The 22,124-nt window shown below is 38.1% G+C and overlaps 1 protein-coding gene and 1 pseudogene across 4 annotated transcripts in view; both read right to left on the bottom strand.

Annotated features, from left to right (window-relative positions):
* Nucleotides 1-22,124, bottom strand: part of GRK3 (G protein-coupled receptor kinase 3) — a 164,620-nt gene that overhangs the window by 73,063 nt on the left and 69,433 nt on the right. For 3 of the 4 annotated variants that reach the window (NM_005160.4, XM_047441167.1, XM_047441166.1), the window contains exon 3: nt 11,567-11,640. The exons of the other annotated variant lie outside the window; for it this stretch is intronic. In NM_005160.4, coding sequence (NP_005151.2) covers nt 11,567-11,640 — 74 coding nt within the window. The remainder of the gene's footprint in view (nt 1-11,566; nt 11,641-22,124) is intronic. 4 annotated transcript variants of the gene reach the window in all.
* YES1P1 (YES1 pseudogene 1) lies at nt 4,197-9,091 on the bottom strand (annotated as a pseudogene).

Genomic DNA, 22,124 nt, shown 5'->3' with positions numbered 1-22,124 from the left:
TTTTAAATCTAGGCATAATGTACATATTTCTATAAGCTGCCTCAAAATCTAACTGGAATAAGAAGTATATAAATCAACACACAGAGCAGTAGCTGTGGGGCATCACTGTTCTATGTGTGTTGTGTATACACACAACCACCCTACAAGACAGGTACTATAATCATTCCAGTTCTTAGCTAAGGAAACCCAGGTAGAGAAAAGCTTTCCCAAGTTTACACAACTAGTAAGCAGTAGAGTTGAAATCCAGGCAGTCAGAGTTCAGCACTAGAACTTTCAACCACTATGCTGCACGTAACGGAACAGCATATTATAGACACTATGGTTTAGAAAGCAATTGTTCATCTGGTGTCCTATTTGAAACTCACAGTTAGCCTGTGAAGTAAGCAGAAGACGATCACTAGCCTCACTTTATAGATGAGGTAACTGAAGTTCAGATATGAAGCCCTCATACTATGACAGCCTCAAGTACAGGGACAGTGTCTGCATTTGTAAGCTCAGGGTCTGACATAAGGTAGATACTTCAGGGTTTGCTGAATGACTTGCCCCATATCCCACAGCAAGTAAGAGGCACCGTTGCACCTAGATCCTAGCTAGGTCTTCTGCTGATGAGTCAAATAATGGTCCAGATGAAAATGCTGACCACACACACACAAGCAGCAGGCACATGGTAGGCATGACATGAGCATTAGACAACAAACAGTGTAAGAATCAGAGGAGTCAGCCATCACAGAAGACGGAAATAGCTGCACAAACAGACTTGCTAGAAAATGTAGAAATTTTCCATATTGAGCTAGACCTTAGAGAAAGCTAGGCTTTCAACAAGCGAAGCAGCAGCATTCTAGGCTGGGGAAAGGACACAGTAAAGTAACAAAAAGAATGGGCTTGGATTTGGGGAATGCTGGTTAGTCAGGTTTGGCCAACGTAGACATTCTATGTAAGAAGGTAGTGAAAACTAACAGGGAGAGGTAGGTAATAAGTAATGTAAAGATACTTTGAATGCCAGGATACGCAGTTAGAACTTTAACATGGGAAATGGGTAACTGTTTGGGGACACAGGAAAGTGGAAATACAATGTACAAAATGTACATTTCAAGATACCTGACAAGAGTTTTCTAGAGATTGGGGTCACAAATCAACAAGCAGAAATTAAAGAAAAATTACTAAACTGACAAAAATGAGGGGTCAGAGAAGAATTACTAATAACTTCAAAGTGTAAAGGCTGCATTGACTTAGAGAAATGCACTTGAGCCCCAAGAGTGGAGGATATCTTCAGCCAAAGAATACAGAGCAGGTTGCTGAGGAGTTTTGCAGCATCCTCCAAGGGGATCATCTGATGAGCCAGACCCACCATGTGCCAAGCCAGAAGAGAGGTGAGAAGAGCTGGGGAGGATGCCAGCTAAGAGAAACACCAATGCTTCAAGTTCAAATGGAAATGCATGAGCAGCAATCACCACCATATCTGCAATAAGTACTTAGGAAATAACCACAAGTAGATTGCCCATCTGTTTCAACCCAGCAAAAATTATCTGCTAAAGGAGATTTCTCTGTGTTTGACAAGGTGACTTAGTAAATGCTGAAACTGGAGAGTTGAAGTTTTTAGAAACACAAGAAAGAAATTTTTTATGACAGATCAAGCTGGGATACGTATCCAGGTAAAATGCCTGATTATGATTCAGACTGAAATAATAAGGTCACTGAGTAAAATCCTTTTGGATTTAGCTTACGTTTTTACATTATGGTAAACGTACATCATAATTTGACCCTTCTTCCTAAAAATACATTAACATAATTTTCTAAGTTTTCATGTGTATGTATATTTTTATGTATATTTTCATATATAAATGAGAAAGAAAAGAATATTCCTCCAATTTTCAAATTTTTACAATGATGACTAATATCAGGCAGGTCCAGTCATGCTATGCTTTCTTTTGACCATTTAATGTTTTAGGATAAAGATATATCACACTAATAATAATGGTATATATCATTTCTTAAATATATTTTCATTAAAAATAGTTTCTAATTTCTATTTTACTTTCCTCTTTGACTTATAAATTGTTTAGAAGTATATTCATTTTCAGGCAGTTAAGGATTCTTTAGTTTAACTCTGTTATTAAATTTGAGCTTAATTCTATTGTCAGAGAACATGCTCTAAGCAATTTCAATCATGAAATTTGTAGAAGCTTCCTTTAGGACTCAGCACATGATCTATTTTGATGCTCCATGTGTACGTTAAAGAATGTGGGCTGGGCGCCGGTGGCTCACGCCTGTAATCCCAGCACTTTGGGAGGCTGAGGCGGGCCGATTACGAGGTCAGGAGTTCGAGACCAGGCTGGCCAACATGGTGAAACCCCGTCTCTACTAAAAATACAAAAATTAGCTGAGCGTGGTGGCGGGTGCCTGTAGTCCCAGCTACTTGGGAGGCTGAGGCAGGAGAATTGGTTGAACCCGGGAGACAGGTTGCAGTGAGCCGAGATCATGTCACTGCATTGCCTGGGCAACAGAGCAAGATTCCATCTCAAAAAAAAAGAATGTGAATTCTATTTTTGCTAGGTGCAGCATTTTACATATGTCAATTAGGTCAAATTTACTCATCATTTTATTAGGATCTTCTATATCCTTACTAATTTTTTGTCTGTCTGTTCTATAAGCTCTAGAAGGTTATGTGTTAATATCTCCCAACAGGATTATAGATTTGTCATTTTATATCTGCCAATTTTTGCTTTATATTCTTTGAAGTTATTTGTAACCTACAGATTTCAGTTTGTGATATCTTTTTGTTGGATTGGCCCTGTTATCATTAAGAAACATATCTTTATTTAAAAGCAGCATTATTGCATAGTTTGCCTGATACTAGTGTAGTTATGCCGGCTTTGCTTTGGTTAGTGTTCGTATTATATCACCTCTTCCATCCATGTGTTTATATCTCTTGTAAGCAGTATATTGGGGGAGGGTTGGTTCTTTATCCAGTCTGAAAAACCTAATCTTTTACTTGGAGTATTTAATCCTTTACATGAAATGTAATTACTTAAATAGATTTGTAGCTACTTACTCTTTGTTTGCAATTTGACCCACCTATTTTATGTCCTACTTATATTCCTTTTTTTGCCTTTCTGTTGATTAGCAAATGTTGTTTTAATTTTTCCCTCTTTTAACTTGTTAGATATACAGTCATGTGGAGCTTAATGACAGGGATATGTTCTAAGAAATGTGTCAATAGGCAATTTCATAATTGTGTGAACATCACAGAGCATGCTTACAAGAGCCTACATCGTATACCTACTACACCCCTACGCCGTATGATGTAGCCTATTGCTCCTAGGATTCAAACCTGTGCAGCATGTGACTATACTGAATACTGCAGGCAACTGTAACACAATGGTAAGTATATTCAAACTTACCATTTGAATATACTTACCTTTTGAATATACGTACCTTTTACTGAAAAGGTACAGTAAAAATATAGTATTAAAATCTTCTGGGATCACTGTCATATACGTGGTCTTTTGTTGGCCTAATATCATTATGCAGTGCATGACTATATACACTATTCTTTTATAAATTATCTTAGAAATTAAAATAAACATCCCTGACTGATTACAATCCAATGGAAATTATTACTTATACTAAAATTATTACTTACACTAACCCCCAATAATCCTAGAAACTTAAAATATTTTAACTTCATTAACCTCCCCTGCATTTTGTGCTACTGTCATGCAATTTAGTTCTAGATTATTTTAAGCTCGAGAAACACGACATTATTGTTTTATACAGTCAACATTCATTTATATTTTACATACATATTCACCCTTCATGCTCTCCATTTCTCCCTGCATCTCCATCTGGATCATTTTCCTGCAAGCTCCGCCTCCCGGGTTCACGCCATTCTCCTGCCTCAGCCTCCTGAGTAGCTGGGACTACAGGCACCTGCCACCACACCCGGCTGTTTTGTATTTTTAGTAGAGACAGAGTTTCACTGTGTTAGCCAGGATGGTCTCGGTCTCCTGACCTCGTGATCCGCCTGCCTTGGCCTCCCAAAGTGCTGAGATTACAGGCGTGAGCCACCATGCCTGGCCAGATCATTTTCCTTCTGACTAAAGTACCTCCCTTTAGTATTTCTTGTCATGCAGGTCCACTATTGACAAATCCCTCAGTTTTTGTTTGTCTAACTATATCCTTATATCACTTCATTTTTTAATGAGAATTTTTTATTTCAATTATCCACAAAACAATATTATAATACTTTATAAAAATATTAAGTTTAGGCTGCCATTATTCATTTTAAAAAGTGTGCTAGAAGGCTGTTTTTGCTAACTTCCTTTTTTGGTAAAGGTTAACTTCCACATTAAGACACTGAAGACGAAAAGCTGTTGGAAAAACTCTTCAAATGTACAAAGTTGTTTATTTTTCTTGGCAATTTAAAAATACAGAACAATTTAAAATGAATACACATTAAGTTAGTGTTTTATCCCTACTATACAATTGTTATTATATAAGGAACTGCTCCATTCAGTTAAAACCTAATGAATACCATCAACTTTTCCTGGCTTACTTTCCTGATCAGATTTAGTACATAACATAATTTTGTTACCCTTTTGAATATACTTAGAAAAATTACAATATCATAGTTCACATAAAGCCCTTTAAGAATCTCATGTCACAAGTTGTTGACAAGAGGAAATAATGACGTCACTCTTCTTAGGAAGACCCTCTTGGTAGAGAGTCAATACTAAGCAGGTTATGTAAACAGAAAAAACAACCACAGTTTTTAGTACGAGAACCATTGCCAACTTGCATGAAGTCCATCTGTCACATTTTAAAATGGTTTGAATTTGAACGTATATGCCATGGCACAGAATTTCAAATCTAATGATTAAATCAGGTAAATAATGATAGTTAAGAATTATATCCTGAAAATAGAGGAACCTAGTATAAGGTTTAATTTAAGGTGTGACTGTAAGAGAGTATTTTATAACATACACACTAGACCTTCATTTTATTTATTAGATTTAATTTTTCCTTTGCTAGACACTTATACCACTAATGCTGCTATTCAAATTTGTATTTTGAAATTTTTTAGTTACTCTTAAAAATAGTTTTATTTTGTATGTTTCACTTTTGCACTTCAGGGTAAAAACTGTTAAGTTTAGGCTGCCATTATTCATTTTAAACAGTGTGCTAGAAGGCTGTTTTTGCCAACTTCCTCTTTTGGTAAAGGTTAACTTCCACATTCCTTTTCACCACTGTTAATATTCAGAATAAGTTTTCCTCCCCAAATCAACTATTTAATATATTCTAAAGGGGAAAAAATGACCACCATTAAGTAGACTTTAAAAGTGAATATAGATTCAAACATGATTTGAAAACTGGAGTTCTAAAAATGTTTTGCATAAAAGCCGTATCCCACTGGAATGAATGTGAAGCCGAAACTTCACTATTTTGAACAAATAATGCCCATTTAGTGTGTAAGAAAAATTAGTTTTATAGTTAGTTATACCTTATAACTCTTAAAAGTCTCAGAAGATAGCTAAGTGAGGAGCTATGAATGCCAACAATGCCATTTTGTCACTCTATGACATCAACATTAAACATTACATTCCATCCCTCTTCTTGTAAAACTTTCACATTTTCTTTTCTCGTATTTCTTTGAAATACATTTTACTCTCTCTGTTCATCTATTTCGACATGAGCAAAAGTGCATTCAAGTCCCTGATCTGGTTCTATTTTCTATTTGTGGCACCCATCACCATAAGGACATATTAGCAATATCTCACAGTACCAAGTCTATTTTTTTAAAAGTGCTCTTTAAATGCTGGGTCTTACTCCGCATGTTATCTAAAGATTAAAAGATTTCCCCTTGGATTGGATAGTACAGTTTCAATTATATATTGCCTTAAAAAATTGCCGGGCATGATGGCTCATGCCTTTGGGAGGCCAAGGCAGGCGGATCACGAGGTCAGGAGTTCGAAACCAGACTGGACAACATGGTGAAACCCCGTCTCTACTAAAGATATAAAAAATTAGCCAGGTGTGGTGGCGGGTGCTACTCAGGGCACTGGGATTACAGGGTGGCACTGGGATTACAGGGTGCTACCTGTAATCCCAGCTACTCAGGAGGCTGAGGCAGGAGAATCACTTGAACCAGTGAGGCAGAGGTTGCAGTGAACCAGGATGGCGCCAATGCACTCTAGCCTGGGCAACAGGGTAAGACTCTGTCTCAAAAAAAAAAAAAAATCAATGCAACCTCATACAAGATTAAGTCACTTTCCAGTTACCTTCATTATTCTAAGTCAAACTCTTCAGAAAAGGACTGAAGTGAAAAATTTCTTATTCTACTTTTCAGTTCCATTAATATGAATGTTAACGTACTGCATTATACTTTCAAATTCCACGTCTGTGGTCTAACATTTAATCAAGTTTGAGATCCTGTTTATATTCCTTTTGAAAAACCTGGCCCATGTCCATGCAAAAGGAGGCATATATTAAGATTGCCTATTGACTATTTAACTCAGAAAAAACTTTTGAGAATAATAAATATAAGAAAGTTTAAAAAACTGGAATGGAATTATTTGGTCCCATGATATTCTTTAATTTTAGATTTTATTATGGTATAGCTTTTTATCACTCAAGTTTTATCTATAACAATAAATAATTTTCTTTGAGCAATTCTGACTTTGGGGAAGAAAAGAAAGAAAATGATTTATAAGCAGTAGCCTCACTGTCCTTCATTACCATGCTATCACTCACACTGTCATCAGTATCTTAGCTCTATTTTCTTTGGACCCTGAAATCGGTTGGAAAATTCATCATCGTACTTTAAAGTTTAATACTTGGGGTAAAAAAAAGTGGTTTTGTGGAACCATATCTGGGACTCCAGTTTACCATTAAAAATGTGCAGAGTAAAGAAGATTTTCTTCTTTTGATCCCTGTAGAAATTCTATACAGGTTCTTCACATTTTGGCAGATGTGAGCATATAAAATAGGCTACTTGAATTAGAAGTTTTCTCCTGGCTGGTACTATGGCTCTGTAGCAGTGAAGTAGTCTCCCAAGAAGGACTGAACATATTCAAATGTTGGTCTTTCATCAGGGTCCTTCTTCCAACACAGATTCATCAATTCATGGAGGGATTCTGGACAGCCCTGAGGGCAAGGCATCCTGTATCCTCGCTCCACCTGTTCCAGTATTTCATGGTTCACCATACCTGGATATGGCACTCTGCCCTTTGTTACCAGTTCTGTCTGTAGAATTCCAAATGAGCAGACACCAGACTTTATTGTAAACCCACCATACAGTGCAACTTCAGGAGCTGTCCATTTGATTGGAAATTCTGCACCTTGTCTTGATGTGTATTCATTGTCTTCAATTAACCTTGCTAAACCAAAATCTGCTATTTTGCACAGAAGATTTTCTCCTACAAGAATATTAGCAGCCCAGAGATCTCGGTGAATATAGTTCATTCTTTTAATATATGCCATACCATCAGCAATCTGAGCAGGCATATCAACCATTTGTGGAAGCTTCAAATACTTTCCATCTCCTTCCTTAAGGAAATTGAATAAGCTTCCTTTTGACATCAATTCAGTGACAATGTAAATTGGCTCTTCAGAAACAACAGCATATAGTGGAACAAGTTTACCATGTCTTATTTTTTTCATTACCTGAGCTTCTTGAAGAAAAGCTTCTGGCATCATTGTACCTGGTTTTAGTGTTTTGATTGCTACTTTTGTGGTTCCATTCCATATTCCCATCCACACTTTGCCAAAACATCCTTGTCCTAGTTTAACCTCTAGTCGCAAAGATTATCAAGGGATTTCCCAAGCATCTTTTGCTAGACCTTGAATCTGAGGTTTCACAGTTGGACACACAGTTGTTAACTTGTGGCATAAACCATCAGCATGTTCTGTGTAGTGTTTTGCCAATTTCTGCAGAGTATCAAGTTGTTCTCTGGTTGTGATATAGTATCTACCATTGTCAAGTTTCCTAATTTTGTGGTGTTTCACATTGTCACCCCTTACCTCATCCCAATCACGAATAGAGAGGGAATAAGCACCTTTAGTAGTTTCGCTCTCTCGTTTTTGTTTTGTTTTGTTCTGTTTGCTTATTTGTTTTTTAGACGGAGTTTTTGCTCTTGTCGCCGAGGCTGGAGTGCAGTGGCGCGATCTCAGCTCACTGCAACCTCCGCCTCCCAGGTTCAAGTGATTCTGCTGCCTCAGCCTCCTGAGTAGCTGGGATTACAGGCACTCACCACCACGTCCAGCTAATTTTGTACTTTTTTTTTTAGTAGAGATGGGGTTTCACCATGTTGGCCAGGCTAGTCTCGAACTCCTGACCTCAGGTGATCCGCCCAACTCGGCCTCCCAAAGTGCTGGGATTACAGGCATGAGCCACTGCACCCAGCCATTTCACTCTCTCTTCCTAAGAAAATACCTCATTAATTTCCAGGATTCAGAAGTAATCTTTCAGCATCTTTTCTCCCCATTTTGCCAAAATACCATTCTTCTGCCTGAATGGAATCTGCAGGCGCTACATAACTGCTCAGGATATAACCATTCTTTCCTGTAGTGATTGATCTTGCTTCCCACCAGTCTCCTTCTGTATTGTTAATTATTTGAAATTTTTCACCCTTCTTAAATGAAAGGTCTTCTGTAGTTCTAGCTTCATAATCATATAAGGCCACAAATATAGTAACACCACGTGTTAAGCCAGCAGGATATGAACTTGGCACCACTGAGAATGAGGAAGATGCCCACCTCCAAAAGGTGTTACCCCTGAGGATCCTCCAAATGGTATAATGGAATGGAAAGACGGCTGAAATTAACTGCTGTTCCCTTTGCTGAAGATGATGGACATGGTGACACTGCAGTGGGTTCTGCTCCCATGGCTCACCCTTGTACTGACAGGCTCTGGAGTATTTTCAGGTATTTAATGGCTGGACTTTTGTTTTCTTTGCTTTTAATGCAGCCCATTATCAAATCTGTCCTCTGGCTGTGCTCTCATGAGTCGCTGCTGCTGCAGCTCCGGGTGGTGGGAGGGGGCGGTGGGTGGAGGTGAGGCCCGGGGCCCTCTCCTTCCTCCACCTCCTCGTCCTCCATTTTTGAAGGAAATTTTTGCTGGGAATAGAATTCTAGGCTGGCAATTATCTTTCTCTCCTTTAATGATGGCCATTTCATTTTTTTTCTTTTTCTTTTTTTTTTTTTTTTTTTTTTTGAGACAAAGTCTCCCTCGGTCACCCAGGCTAGAGTGCAATGGCAAGATATCAGCTCACTGCAACTTCTGCCTCCCGGGTTCAAGTGATTCTCCTGCCTCAGCCTCTTGAGTAGCTGAAATTACAGGCATGCACCACCACACCTGGCTAATTTTTGTATTTTTAGTAGAGACAGGGTTTCACCATGTTGGTCAGGCTGGTCTTGAACTCCTGACCTCGTGATCCACCCGCCTTGGCCTCTCAAAGTGCTGGGATTACAGGCGTGAGCCATTGTGCCCAGCCTCACTGTCTTTTTTTAAAAATCATTTTTCTTAAGATGTCAGTCAGTCAAATTGCTGCTCTTTAAAAGTATTGTGTCTTCCCACTGCTCACCATGGCTATTTTAAATATTTTTTTCCTAGTTTAAAAACTTTGTCATAGTTTCCATAGTCTTATATTGACACCCAAAGGTGTGTTTCATATGTATTCATTCTGCTTAGGGTTTCCTAAGCTTTCAACTCTGTTAGCTGCTGTCTTTCATCATTTTGTAAAATTCTTAGTATTATCTTTTCAAATATTGCTTTTGCCCTATTCTCTCCCTTCTCTTTCTGAAACTCCAAACCTACATGTGTCTGGAACTCTAACCAATCTGCTATTGAACTGAACCATTAGTTCTAATTTCAAATATAGTACTTTCTGTTCTAAAGTGGTTAAGTCTTCATAATAAATTCAAATTATCCTGAAATTATGTATCCCTTCATCTATTTTGTCCATCTTTTTCTCTTTTTTCTTGAACATATGATTCATAGTTATTTTAAAGTTATTGTCTGCTAACTCCAATATCTGACTCACCTGCTGGCCTGCTTTTATTGCCTTATTTATGATTCACATGATCTTGCTTCTTAGCATGTCTCATAATTCTTTACTGCATGCTAAACACTATAGAGTCCTTATATAATGTTATTACCTACCTATAAAAAAGACAAAAAAGGGCTCCCTTTGTACTCTGGTAAGCAGGTAAGGAGGGAGCTCATCATCCAATGAGGGATGGCGCTAGGTTGGGTTGTCATTTTTTAGGACCCTGTCTGCTTTTGCCTTAACCCTGTTTCTTTTTTTTTTTTTTGAGATGGAGTCTCGCTCTGTCGCCCAGGCTGGAGTGCAGTGGTGCCACCTCGGCTCACTGCAAGTTCCACCTCCCGGGTTCACACCATTCTCCTGCCTCAGCCTCCCGAGTAGCTGGGACTACAGGCGCCCACCACTACGCCTGGCTAATTTTTTGTATTTTAGTAGAGACGGGGTTTCACCATGTTAGCCAGGATGGTCTCGATCTCCTGACCTCGTGATCCACCCGCCTCGGCCTCCCAAAGTGCTGGGATTACAGGCGTGAGCCACCGTGCCTGGCCTGCTTTGATCCTGTTTCTAAGGCACGCCGTCTATGGAGTTCAAGGAGACACTTTTATTTCCTTAGCACTGGAGTCAGTTCTGCCCATTACAAGTTTTCAGCTTAGCTCTTTGGCCTCCCACCCCACTCAGTTTGAAAACTTGGCGTGTGTTTTGAAAGGGTGACTAATCACATATGTGGGGCTCCTCTAGTGTTATTTTTAAACTCTAGCTCCAGAAACCTTTTCTGCAATTTTTGTCTCCCAGAAGCAGCCAAGCCTGGATGCCCATCTGCCTGCTACACCTGAAATCAACAGAAACCCTAGGTGAAAAGTAGCTGTAGATACCCAATGTCACCAGACCACATCTTCTAGAGTTTCCATCTCTCGCCCATTCTGTTTTCAGACTCCAGACTCCAGCAGGTCTGTGTTTCCTAGGCACTGTAAGGCTGTAGGAGATTTCAATGTGCCTTCTGGAAGTTTCTGGCCTCTCTCTTCAGCTCCCCTCCAACCTCAGATTTCACCAAATTTCTTATGGGGAAAATCAGTCATGCATTTGAGCACCCCACCACACCCCCCACCAAATCTCCAATTTGTCAGTCCATTATGACCAGAAAACCTTGGCTAGTATCTCTTTCAAAGCTAGTAGCAGTCCTCTGCCTCTGCTCACATCTCCAGAACTAGCACGCTTCCACAGAAAATAAAATAACTGGTCCTCCTTGGTGCAGCTCTGGATGAGCCTCCCATCTCTGGAACTTTAGTCCAACTGTCCCTCATTGCTTCCATAGCACTCTGAAGCCTTTAAGAATGCGACTTTTATGGCATACTCAGCTTTTCATACCTGTTAGCATCTCAAACTTGATACTATATTTTGCACTACTAATTACTTTCAATGAATTTCTAAATATTTGTAAGATATTAAGTAGTCTTAATATGTTCCAAAGTACAGTTTAAATATGCTTTTGAAAGAAAAGCATCAGTAAAACAGTTACTTCTTACCTCTTCATAAAACTTCACCTGAGGTACAGCTTCATTAATTTCATTCAAACAAAAATCTTTAAATAGCAAGAAACCTAAAGGAAAAAAATAAAAAATTTCAGGGTGGGCAATTAATTGAAATTTTATCCCACAAGGGTGTTTTCAAAGCAATGTGTTTATACCTCAACCTCTTCCTCCTCTACTTTTTTTTTTAAAAAAAAGATTTCAAGAAGCTAGTGAATTAATTAATTCCTAGAAGGAAATACTCCAGGCAGAAAAATACCACATACTTGGCTCCTTGCTTCAGGATTCCTTCTCTATTCATGTTCACCCCCGCCCCCCACTTTCCACAAAAGTATGATACGACAGGGCTGGCATTCACCACCACCACTTGGAGCCGCTGACCATTGTAGTGACCAAAATAACAACCAAAGGAATAAGAGATACAGACAGTATGTGTTGGTGAGAATCACCAAGACACTAATAAACACTATGCCCACTAAAATAGGACCAAACTCCCTAAAAAAAAAACAAACAAACAAAAAAAAAAACACCAGAACCCTTCTAGTCCTTTCTTCCCAAACCTTTCTAGTCCTTTCTCTTGCCACTCACTCACTATTTCCAAGTCCCTACCGAATACCTAGTGCCAGAGCAGATTACCCATTCCCAGGTCATGCTTTACTCCTTCACAACTACAAGCCTCACCTTTAAACACCTTTGCCTAGAATACCACGCCCCTCTCTGTACCTTGAAAACTCCTGAAATAACCAGAATTGGACTCAAAAGCCAACTGTGCTCTGAAGTCTTCTCTGATGAGACAGACCCTATTGCACAATGCCTGGTACACAGTAGGTGGCCAATAAATGTTCACTGAATGAATGTTTACTTAGCCTTTCCAACATTCTGTCAAAATATTTACCACACACTAATTAATTACCTGATTTATAAGGCTCCCATTCCATTTGAAAACCTAGTGCCTAGCTTAATGCCTAATGGTGACGCCTAGATAAACAAAATTAAATAGAACAAGCTGATACCAGACTGAAGGTAGAGATACTTGAAGATTATAAAATTCCAAAAAGTCAAAACAATTAAACGGAGAGTTCGCAGAAACAGAAGCTGCAGAAAGGAACTGAAGAAAGACTCACAAAGTCTACCATGTAGAGATGAAGTGGACCAGAATTCCCCAGGTGGGACTGAAAAAGGAAGTGGCTGTGATGAGATTTTAATTAACATTAGCATAAGGATCTTGTAACTTGAACTGGTCTGTAACTGATCCATAAATTCCCCTCATAGTTCCCGGAACGTGGCCTTTGAAAATGGTAAGTGTTCGTTCACTCAAACTAGAGTAGAATGACTAAGAGTACTAGTTAAATAGGCATAGCCAGACTTTACCAGGGTCAGGCGCACACCTGCAGCAGGAGCACAGCCACGCTCCTCCCATGGAGAAACTGCAACGACCCCAACATAGGCAGGAAGTAGGAAATTCAAGAAGCAGGCAAATGGGAAGGATACACATCTCTATCTGTTCGTATGTTAGTATTCTGATTTTAAGAGTAATCGTTGTCTCTTCATTTTTATTCATTTCAAAGGACTTTCTAATTTCCCTTGTCATTTCTTCTTTGATCCGTGAGTCCTTCAGAAGGGTGTAGTTTAATTTCAAAATATTTGGGGATTTTTCAGACACTGATTTTCTGTTTAGCTCTGTTGTGGTCAGAGAACATGCTTGGTATGATTTCAATGCTTTTAAATGCATTGAAACTTTTGGTCTATCTAACGGAATGCTGTATGGCACTTGAAGAAAGGGTGCATTCTGTTCTTATAGGGTGGAGTGTTTCATTTAAAAGAATACAAAGGCAATTAAACCAAGTGGGCTTGATAGAGTTCTTCAAGATGGTCCTCTGCAGCAACACAGATGGAACTGAAGGCCATTATCCTAAGTGAAGTCAGTCAGAAACAGAGACTCAAATACTGCACATTCTCATTTACAAGTGGGAGCTAAACAATGGGTACACATGGACATAGGGAGTAAAATAATAGACACTGGAAACTCCAAAAGGCAGGAGGATGGGAGAGGAGTAAGCCATGAAAAATCACAGATTGAGTACAATGTACACTAAAAGCCCAGAGTTCACCACTATGCAATGTATCTAGGTAACAAAATTGCACTTGTACCCCCTAAATCCATAGAAATAAAAGATCATCCTCTGAATCTTTACAGAATGTCTGTCTGTTTATTTATTTATTTATTTTTGAGATGGAGTCTTGCTCTGTCGCCCAGGCTGGAGTGCAATGGCGCGATCTTGGCTCACTGCAACCTCTGCCTCCCAGGTTCAAGCAATTCTCCTGCCTCAGCCTCCCGAGTAGCTAGGATTACAGGCACCCGCGATCATGGCCGGCTAATTTTTGCATTTTTAGTAGATACGGGGTTTCACCATGTTGGCCAGACTGGTCTCGATCTCCTGACCTCAGGTGATCCACCCGCCTTGCCCTCCCAAAGTGCTGGGATTACAGGCGTGAGCCACCGCGCGGCCATCTGTCTATTTATTCTATCCATCATCAACAGTGAAGTGTTGAACTCTCCATTTGTAATTGTAGATTTGTTCATCTTTTTTCAATGTTGTCAGTTTTTGCCACATGTATTTCTTTTTCTATTTCTGGAAGACAAAACTAACATGAGAATTTGAACTTAAGTATTTTGATCAAATTAGAGATGTTTTCAAAATGTCTAAATGACAAAATGAAATAATACCACACATGGACCACTGTCTTTTGACTACACTTGGAATCAAACTGAAACTCTTCACCATAGCCTACCCACGTCCTCTGGAGTCACCATTTCCTTCTCTGGCCTCATCTCACAGTGCTCCCCCCAAGCTCACTTCACTTAGGCCAAGCTTCTGTACTGTAGTTTCTCTGACACCAAGCTCATTCCCTTCTCAGGGTTTCTTACCGGCTATTCCCACTGCCTCACACACTTTTCCTGGATCTTCTAAATGAACAGCTCACTAGCTCACTTCACATATCCCTTTCCTTGAGGAGGCCTTTCATGATTCTCATTCATTCTCACTGTCCTGCTGTCTCTATCTCGCATCCATTCACACACACACACCACAAAACACTTTGTAGCACTTACGATGAGCAAAAATTGTCGCATGTTTATATTTGCTTCTTTACTGTCTACCTCTCCCACTACAATGTAAGCTGCAATGCATAGGGTACAGGTGTTTTATTCTCTACTACATTTGCACAAGAGCATTGACTGTAACAAAGACAGAGCTCAGGAGAGAGAACAAAGGAAGAAAGGTAGAAGAAAGAGCAAAGGTACAAGGAGAGGGAGGGAAGTCGGGGGAAAGGAGGAAGGAAGAGGACAGAAAGAGGAGGGATGAGGGAAAGAGGGAGTTGAATGAATGAACACCCAACTTAGAATGTGTTTACCTATTTATTTAAGGAAATCTCCATTGTCGGTCAGTAGAATAAGCCAAGGACTTAGTTCAACACACAATAGAAAACACAAAATATTATTTTCCTCCTATGTGCACATAAACTGAAGCTTTACTTTCTACCAGCTGTTTAAATGGAGCTGCTAAAATTGAGCAGCAGGAAGAAAGATATTTGCCTTTTGGCTAAATCCTAGATCACTGTGTCCTAGGCTGAACGCAACTTACCTTCATCAGCCTTAAATTATATAAAAAGCAAATGAAGCATGGCCTAGATTAGGGCAAAATATGAGAGGCAAAAATAAGGAAATATTTTGCCTAACAAGTTCACTTCATCGCTGCAATTTCTCCAGATCTTAAAGAGTAAAAAATGGTGACCTAACACCTGCTTAGTAGATATTTGTGAAATGTGTTTACTTTGTTGCTATATTTGAACCACTGCAAAATGCTGAATATTGATTAACTTTTTAGTGTATGTAACACCCGCCATCACGATAATTTTTCAAAAATTAGTAGAAAGAATTGTATTGCTTTTTATAAAATGTAAGTTAAGAACTTTTGAAAGTATTAAATATAAGTGGTTTCTATGAGAAAATTTGAAATTAAATCTCCTAAAAATTAGAAAGGTGAAAAGAGAAATATGAAAATTTTCTTGCAAGAAAAAATACTTGTCCTCAGTTTTGCCAAGGAGATTAAGACAGTAAGGAGAATAGACTGCATAACTGCTAAAACTTCCTCCCAATATTGACTAATTCTACAAAACATTTACTGAGTATCTACTAAGAGCCACTGTGTTATTCACTGAGGATGTGATTGTGAAAACAGTGTTTTTCCAATAAAGCGCTTACGGATTAGTGTAAGAGACAGACAACAAAGAAATACATATAATTTATGACAAGGAATATAAAGTAATTAAGTATGATGCTGAGATAATGATAAAAAGAGGAAGATGTATTTCAGACAGAATGGTCAGTAAGGCCTTTCTGAGCTGTGAGACAAACAAAATACAATGCATGTCAGATAAGAAAATGCTGCAATATGTAATCTCACTCCTCTTCAACATTGTATTGGAGGTCCTAGCCAATGCAATAAAGTAAGAAAATGAAATAACAGTTATTCAAATTGAAAAGGAAGAACTAAAACTGATTCTATTCAATCTGGTTACCTACCTGGCAAATCCTATCTATAAGTAACTACTAGAATATGTAAGTAAATTTAGCAAGGCCACAGGACATAAGGTCATTAGATAAAAACCAATGAAATTTCTATAAACTCATAGCACACAATTTTAAAATGGAATTTTAAAAACAAGTCAATTTGTAATAACAAAGAACTATCAATACATAGGAATAAACAAATAAATGACATACAAGAACAGTATGCTAAAAACTATAAAATGTTACTGAGAGAAATTAAAGAAGATCTAAATAAATGGAAATACATACTCAGTTCATGGACTGGAAGATTTAGTATTGCTTAGATGTTAATTCTTCCCAGAATAATTTGTAGATTCAGTGCAATTACAATCATAACTCCAACAGGCCTTTTTAAAGAAACTGACAAGCTGATTCGAAAATATATATGGAAATGCAAAAAACCTAGAATACCCAAAACATCTTAAGAAAGAAGAACAAAGTTCAAAGCCTTAACGCTATCCAATTTCAAGACTCATTACATAGCCATACTAATCTTAATCAATACATTAGATTGATTAATATGGCTATATAATGTAGTGGCATTAGATTAAATCACTGGAACAGAAATATAAGGTCCCAGAATATGCCCACATTTATATAGTCAATTTAAGTCTTTTCAACAAATGATGCTGGGAAAGCTGATATCCATATGGGGAAAAAGATGAAAGGAATTGTTACCTCACACCTTATAAAGAATTAAATTAAGGATTATCATAGAACTAAATGTGAAGGCTAAAATTATAATGCTTCTAGAATATATATAGAATATCTTCACAGAAAATCTTTATGCAAAAGATTTCTTAGGCAGGGTAAAGAAAGAAATGATAAATTATACTTTATCAAAATGTAGAACTTCTGTTCTTCAAAAGACAGTGTTAAAAAATAGACCAGCCATGGACTGGGGTAAAATATTATAAAACCTAAGTTAGAAAAAATGCCTTGTAAATTTGGATTCAAAGAAACAAACAAAGACAATTCTTACAAATCCATGTTAAAAGAAGAACAACTCAATAAAAGAACTCAAGGAAGATTTGAACACATCACAACACAGGAACACCTCACAAGAAAGGGATAGAAACAGCCAGTAAGCCCATGAAAGGGACTCAGCATCATTGGTCATCATGTAAATGTAAATTAAGCCACTCTAAGATATCCCTTCTCAACTACTAGAATGGCTAAGTTAAATATTGACAACCCCAACTGCCAGCAGGGATACAAGGCAGCCAGAACTCCAATGAGTTGCTGAGGAGGACGGACAATACCTTGGGTCCCCCATGCCTCTGAATCAGCAGGCAGAGAAGGGAGATCTTGTGTTGACTGGAGTAACTGATCCTGACTGCCAAGGGGATCCACACTAGAGAGATAAGGAAAAGCATGTCTGGAATACAGGAGATTTCCTAGGGTATCCCCCCACTATTACTATGGCCTGTGATTAAAGTCAAGGGAAAACTATAACCCAATTCAGGCAGGGCTATGAATGGCCCAGACCTTTTAGGAGTAATGATTCAAGTCATCCCACCAGGTACAGAACTATGACCGACTGAGGTGCTTGCTGATGGTAAAGGGAACACGTAATCCATGGGAGTAAGGAATACCAGCTACAACCATGTGACCAGTTACAGGAATGAGGACTGCAACTGTCATGAGTGTTTCCCCCTTATTGTGTGTGTGTATGTTAAGCAAATATCTTTGCTTTCTTCTCCACTTCTTGTCCCTTTATCATGTAACAGAAGACATACTGACTTCCTAGTGTAGCATTTAAATATTGTTAACTTTACATGATGGTATTTAAGTTGCAAGACATCGAAGAAAAGAGCAAACATCATCCAAGGACTTTGCATCCTTTTCTGGGAAAAGAGTCAATGCATCTTCCATTGTACGCAGACTAGTTGTATCATGTTAGGTGGAAGTATGACCTTGTTATCGCCTTTAGTGGAGATTAATCGTGGTGTAAGGAGATGTGTATGAGCACCAGGATGACAAGGGGTGGATGTGTGATGGTTAATTTCATCTTGGAGAGTGTCCTGGAATGAGATTAAAATTTAGATCAGTAAACTGCGAGTAAGCAGATTGCTCCCCATAACGTAGGTGGGCTGCATCCAATCAGCTGAAAGCCTGAACAGAACAAAAAGATCAGATGCCCCAGGGAAGGGAGAATTTCCCAGCAGACTGCCTCCAGACTTCATCTGCACCATCAGCTATCCTGGATCTCGAGCCTGCCAGCTCACACTGCAGATTTGGACTTGCCCGTCTCCATAATCACATAAGCCAGTTCCTTACAATAAGTCTCTTTCTGTCTATATACACATATCCTATTACTTTTCTATCACTGGAGAATGCTGCATTATATAGATTTGGAGCATGGTAAAGAATATACAGTCCCTTAGGAAAATAGCTTGAAAGTTTTTATAAAGTTACACCCACACTTACACAATGCAGTGATTCCTCTATTAGATACTTATCCAATGAAAACTTATATCTCCAAAAAGACTTGTATAGGGAATCTTCATGGCAGCTTTATTCATAACTTATCTGAAATGATTCAAAGACTATCAACAGGAAGATAAGTAGATTGTGATATTTTCACACAGTGGAATACTATTCAGCAATAAAACAAAACAAACTACTGATACATCCAGCATTGTACCTGTATTAGTCAGGGTTCTCCAGAGAAACATATAAGCAAGTAAGAGGAGACTTACAGGAATTGGCTCACATGATTATGGAGGCCGAGAAGTCCCATGCTATGCTGTCTGCAAGCTGGAGAAACAGATGGTGTAACTCAGTACAAGCTTAAAGACCTGACAACCAGGAGAACCAATGGTGTAACTCCCAAGCCAAGGCCAAAGGTCTGAGAACCAGGAAAAGGCGCTAGTATCAATCCTGGAGTCTCAAGGCCTGAGAAACTGGAGCTCCAATGTCCAAGGGCAGGAGAAGATAGATGCCCAAGCTCAAAAAGAGAGAAAGGATGAGCTCTTTCTCCACCTTTTTGTTCTATTCCTGCAGGCCCTCAATGGATTGGGCAATAGCCACCCATATCCCTGATGGTGGATCTTTTTACACTGATTCAAATGCTAGTCTCTTCCAGAAACATCCTCACAGACACACCCAGCAATAATGTTTTACCAGCTATCTGGGTATCACATTTAACGTAGCCAGGTTGACTACGAAACTTTACCATCACCATCAGTAAATGTCAGACATTACGTTGGTCAAAAGTTGCCAGATACAAAGAAGTATATGCTGCGTAATTCTATATATATACATTCTAGAACAGGCAAAACTGATCTATGGTTTTTAAAAAAAAAATCAGAAAAATGCTTGCGTCTATGAACATGAAATTGACTGGGAAGAGGCATGAAGGAACTTTCTAAGAATGGAAATATTCTGTCTTTTGATAGAGGTAGGGGTTATGTGGGTCAATACATTTATCAGAATTAAATTGTGTACAGTACTGTAAGTAAATTTACCTTAAAAAAGAACTGGAAACAAATATTAACTCTAGCTAGTAGGTTTGCTTTCACAGCAGTATGAGTTAGCAGTTCGGAAACTATTTACAGTGTACTCTAGGCTTACACAAATGAGTAAATATATTGAGGATAATAAGAGGCTTTTTGGATAAGAGAGTTAAAATATGGAAAGAGAACAGAATGTACATTGTAGCACTGAATTGGAATGGGAGTATCTATTTGAATTCATTGTTTCTGGTAGGTAGATATGTGAACACGTACACATACACACAAACATTTCCTTGCTCTGTTTATAAAGGTCTAGAAGCAATGACACACCGGCAGCAATGAGCACTTCTAGTGTCCAAATTTAGGCTGCTAAACACTATTCTCCATTAAAAGCAACTAGAGCTCCTTAGAGAAAAGGCTGATTGATTCTAGGGCAAGGACAGTGAATAAATAACAACATGAGCTTTAAACATCTGCTAGAAAGTAAGCAAGCACTTGTAGGATGATGGAGCTATATGAACAGGAACCAGCTTGAAAGCACTCCTAGTAGCCAAAACTGGGAAAATTTGAACATCAAAATAAATAAGAAGAGTCATAGATCATAACCCATTAGATAAATTAAGGATCTATGAGTGCATACTGATATAAATAGCAAATAAATAGGGAGAAGGAAAAGCGCTTTCTTAATAGTCAAATGCCAGTCAAAAACTATGGAATGAATGATGGAGTCAGAAAACTGATGGGTGCCAAAACTAGTGGATAAGTTTGAGTAGGAGCAGAATATTTACGTAGTGCAAAAGTAACTTCCACGAGTTACTTACTTACAAAGGGAAAACTCATAACTAACAGTGGAGGATGCTAGCAAACACCCACTTTAAGCAAATGGTCAAAATTAACAATCATCAGACTTGGGACAACGTAACATTATGATGCCTTGAGAACAACACGACATCTGACCTATGGTCTCCTGACAAAAGTGTCTTTACAAATGTTAAGGTCAAGAAAGTAAAAGAAAGCTGAGGGATAGTCCAGATTAAAGGAGACTAAAGGTATGAGAAGGAAATGCAGGCATGATCCCACACTCAATCCTGAACCAGGAAAAATTATAGCAAAAAAGAACATTTTGGGGAACAATTGTTGAAATATGAATATGGACTTTGGATTAGACAGTAGTATTATAGTATTATATCTGTGTTCAATGTCCTGATTTTGAACATTGTACTGTGGTTCTCTAAAAGAATAACCTTGTTCTTAAGAAATAGGGGCTGAAACATATAATGGTCAAGAGGAGTGATGTCTCTAAATTACACCCCCCAAAAATCATAAAAAGAATGAATAATGAAACAAATGAGGCAAAATGTATGCAAACAATGAAACTGTTTAAAGCAGGGGTGTCTAGTCTTTCAGCTTCTCTAAGACACATTGGAAGAAGAATTGTCTTGGGCCACACGTTAACAAAAAACAAATCACAAATACATCTCAATGTTTTAAGGAAGTTTATGAATTTATGTGGGGCCACATTCAAAGCCATCGTGGTCTGCATGCAGCCCGCGGGCCGCAAGTTGGACAAGCTTGGTTTAAAGGGTATACAAAATTCCTCATACCATTCTTACGACTTTTCTGAGTTTGAAGTTATTTCAAAATATAATTTTAAAATGCATATCAAAATACAAAGTTATAAGAAAAGCGGCAAAATCACAAAACTCATTTATGACTAAGATTATATATAATTATTGGCAAAAAGGCTAGAGAAAAATAACTGAAATTTGGCTTTTAACTATTAGAAATTTTATGTGACTAATAATAGAAATGGTTGCTGTCAAATTAGCTTTTCAAATATTTATTCCTTTTATAATTAGTAATTTCCAACCCATTTAAAAACTATATATAGACATTTGCACTAGAAGAAAACTTACAGCACTTTAAATCCTTGAACAAACACAATATAATAGAAATGCTAATATAATTTAACTAGAACAATGTTAATAAGCTCCCTTATAATTAAACATAATTCTGGGAGGAAACATAAAGGTGCTTTAATGCAGCAAATCAGTTACATGTTCCAAGAGTTTTCTAAAATATTTTATCATAACAATTTGAAGATTATCATTTTCACATATTATATTTCTCTATAGCCTTTTGAGTAAAACACCCTAAGCAAGCACACTAGCTCCCATATAATTGGAAATTCCCTCCAACCCCTGCAAGCACCACGAAACAACTACCTTACATCTTATCATCCAGCATCACAACACATATCATGAGACAGCCCCACTGACCATACTAGAATTGTCTCTAAACCAGGATCTCTAAACCAGCATTACATGTTAGACCTTGCATCTTAACTTTTCCATGTGAACAAATTAACAAAACAGGTGTTAGGTTTCCCTAATATTAGTACATTTTTTCAAGTTTAAAAGAAAAACCCCTTGGATTAATCTCCAGAATTTTTTCAACTCTAAGATTCTATATCTCTAAATAAAAT

The sequence above is a fragment of the Homo sapiens genome, chromosome 22, assembly GCF_000001405.40.
Source record: "Homo sapiens chromosome 22, GRCh38.p14 Primary Assembly".
In the NCBI taxonomy this organism is placed as follows: Eukaryota; Metazoa; Chordata; class Mammalia; order Primates; family Hominidae; genus Homo; species Homo sapiens.
Note: the sequence above shows the minus strand (reverse complement) of the source record. Positions and strands in the feature narration are given on the sequence as shown.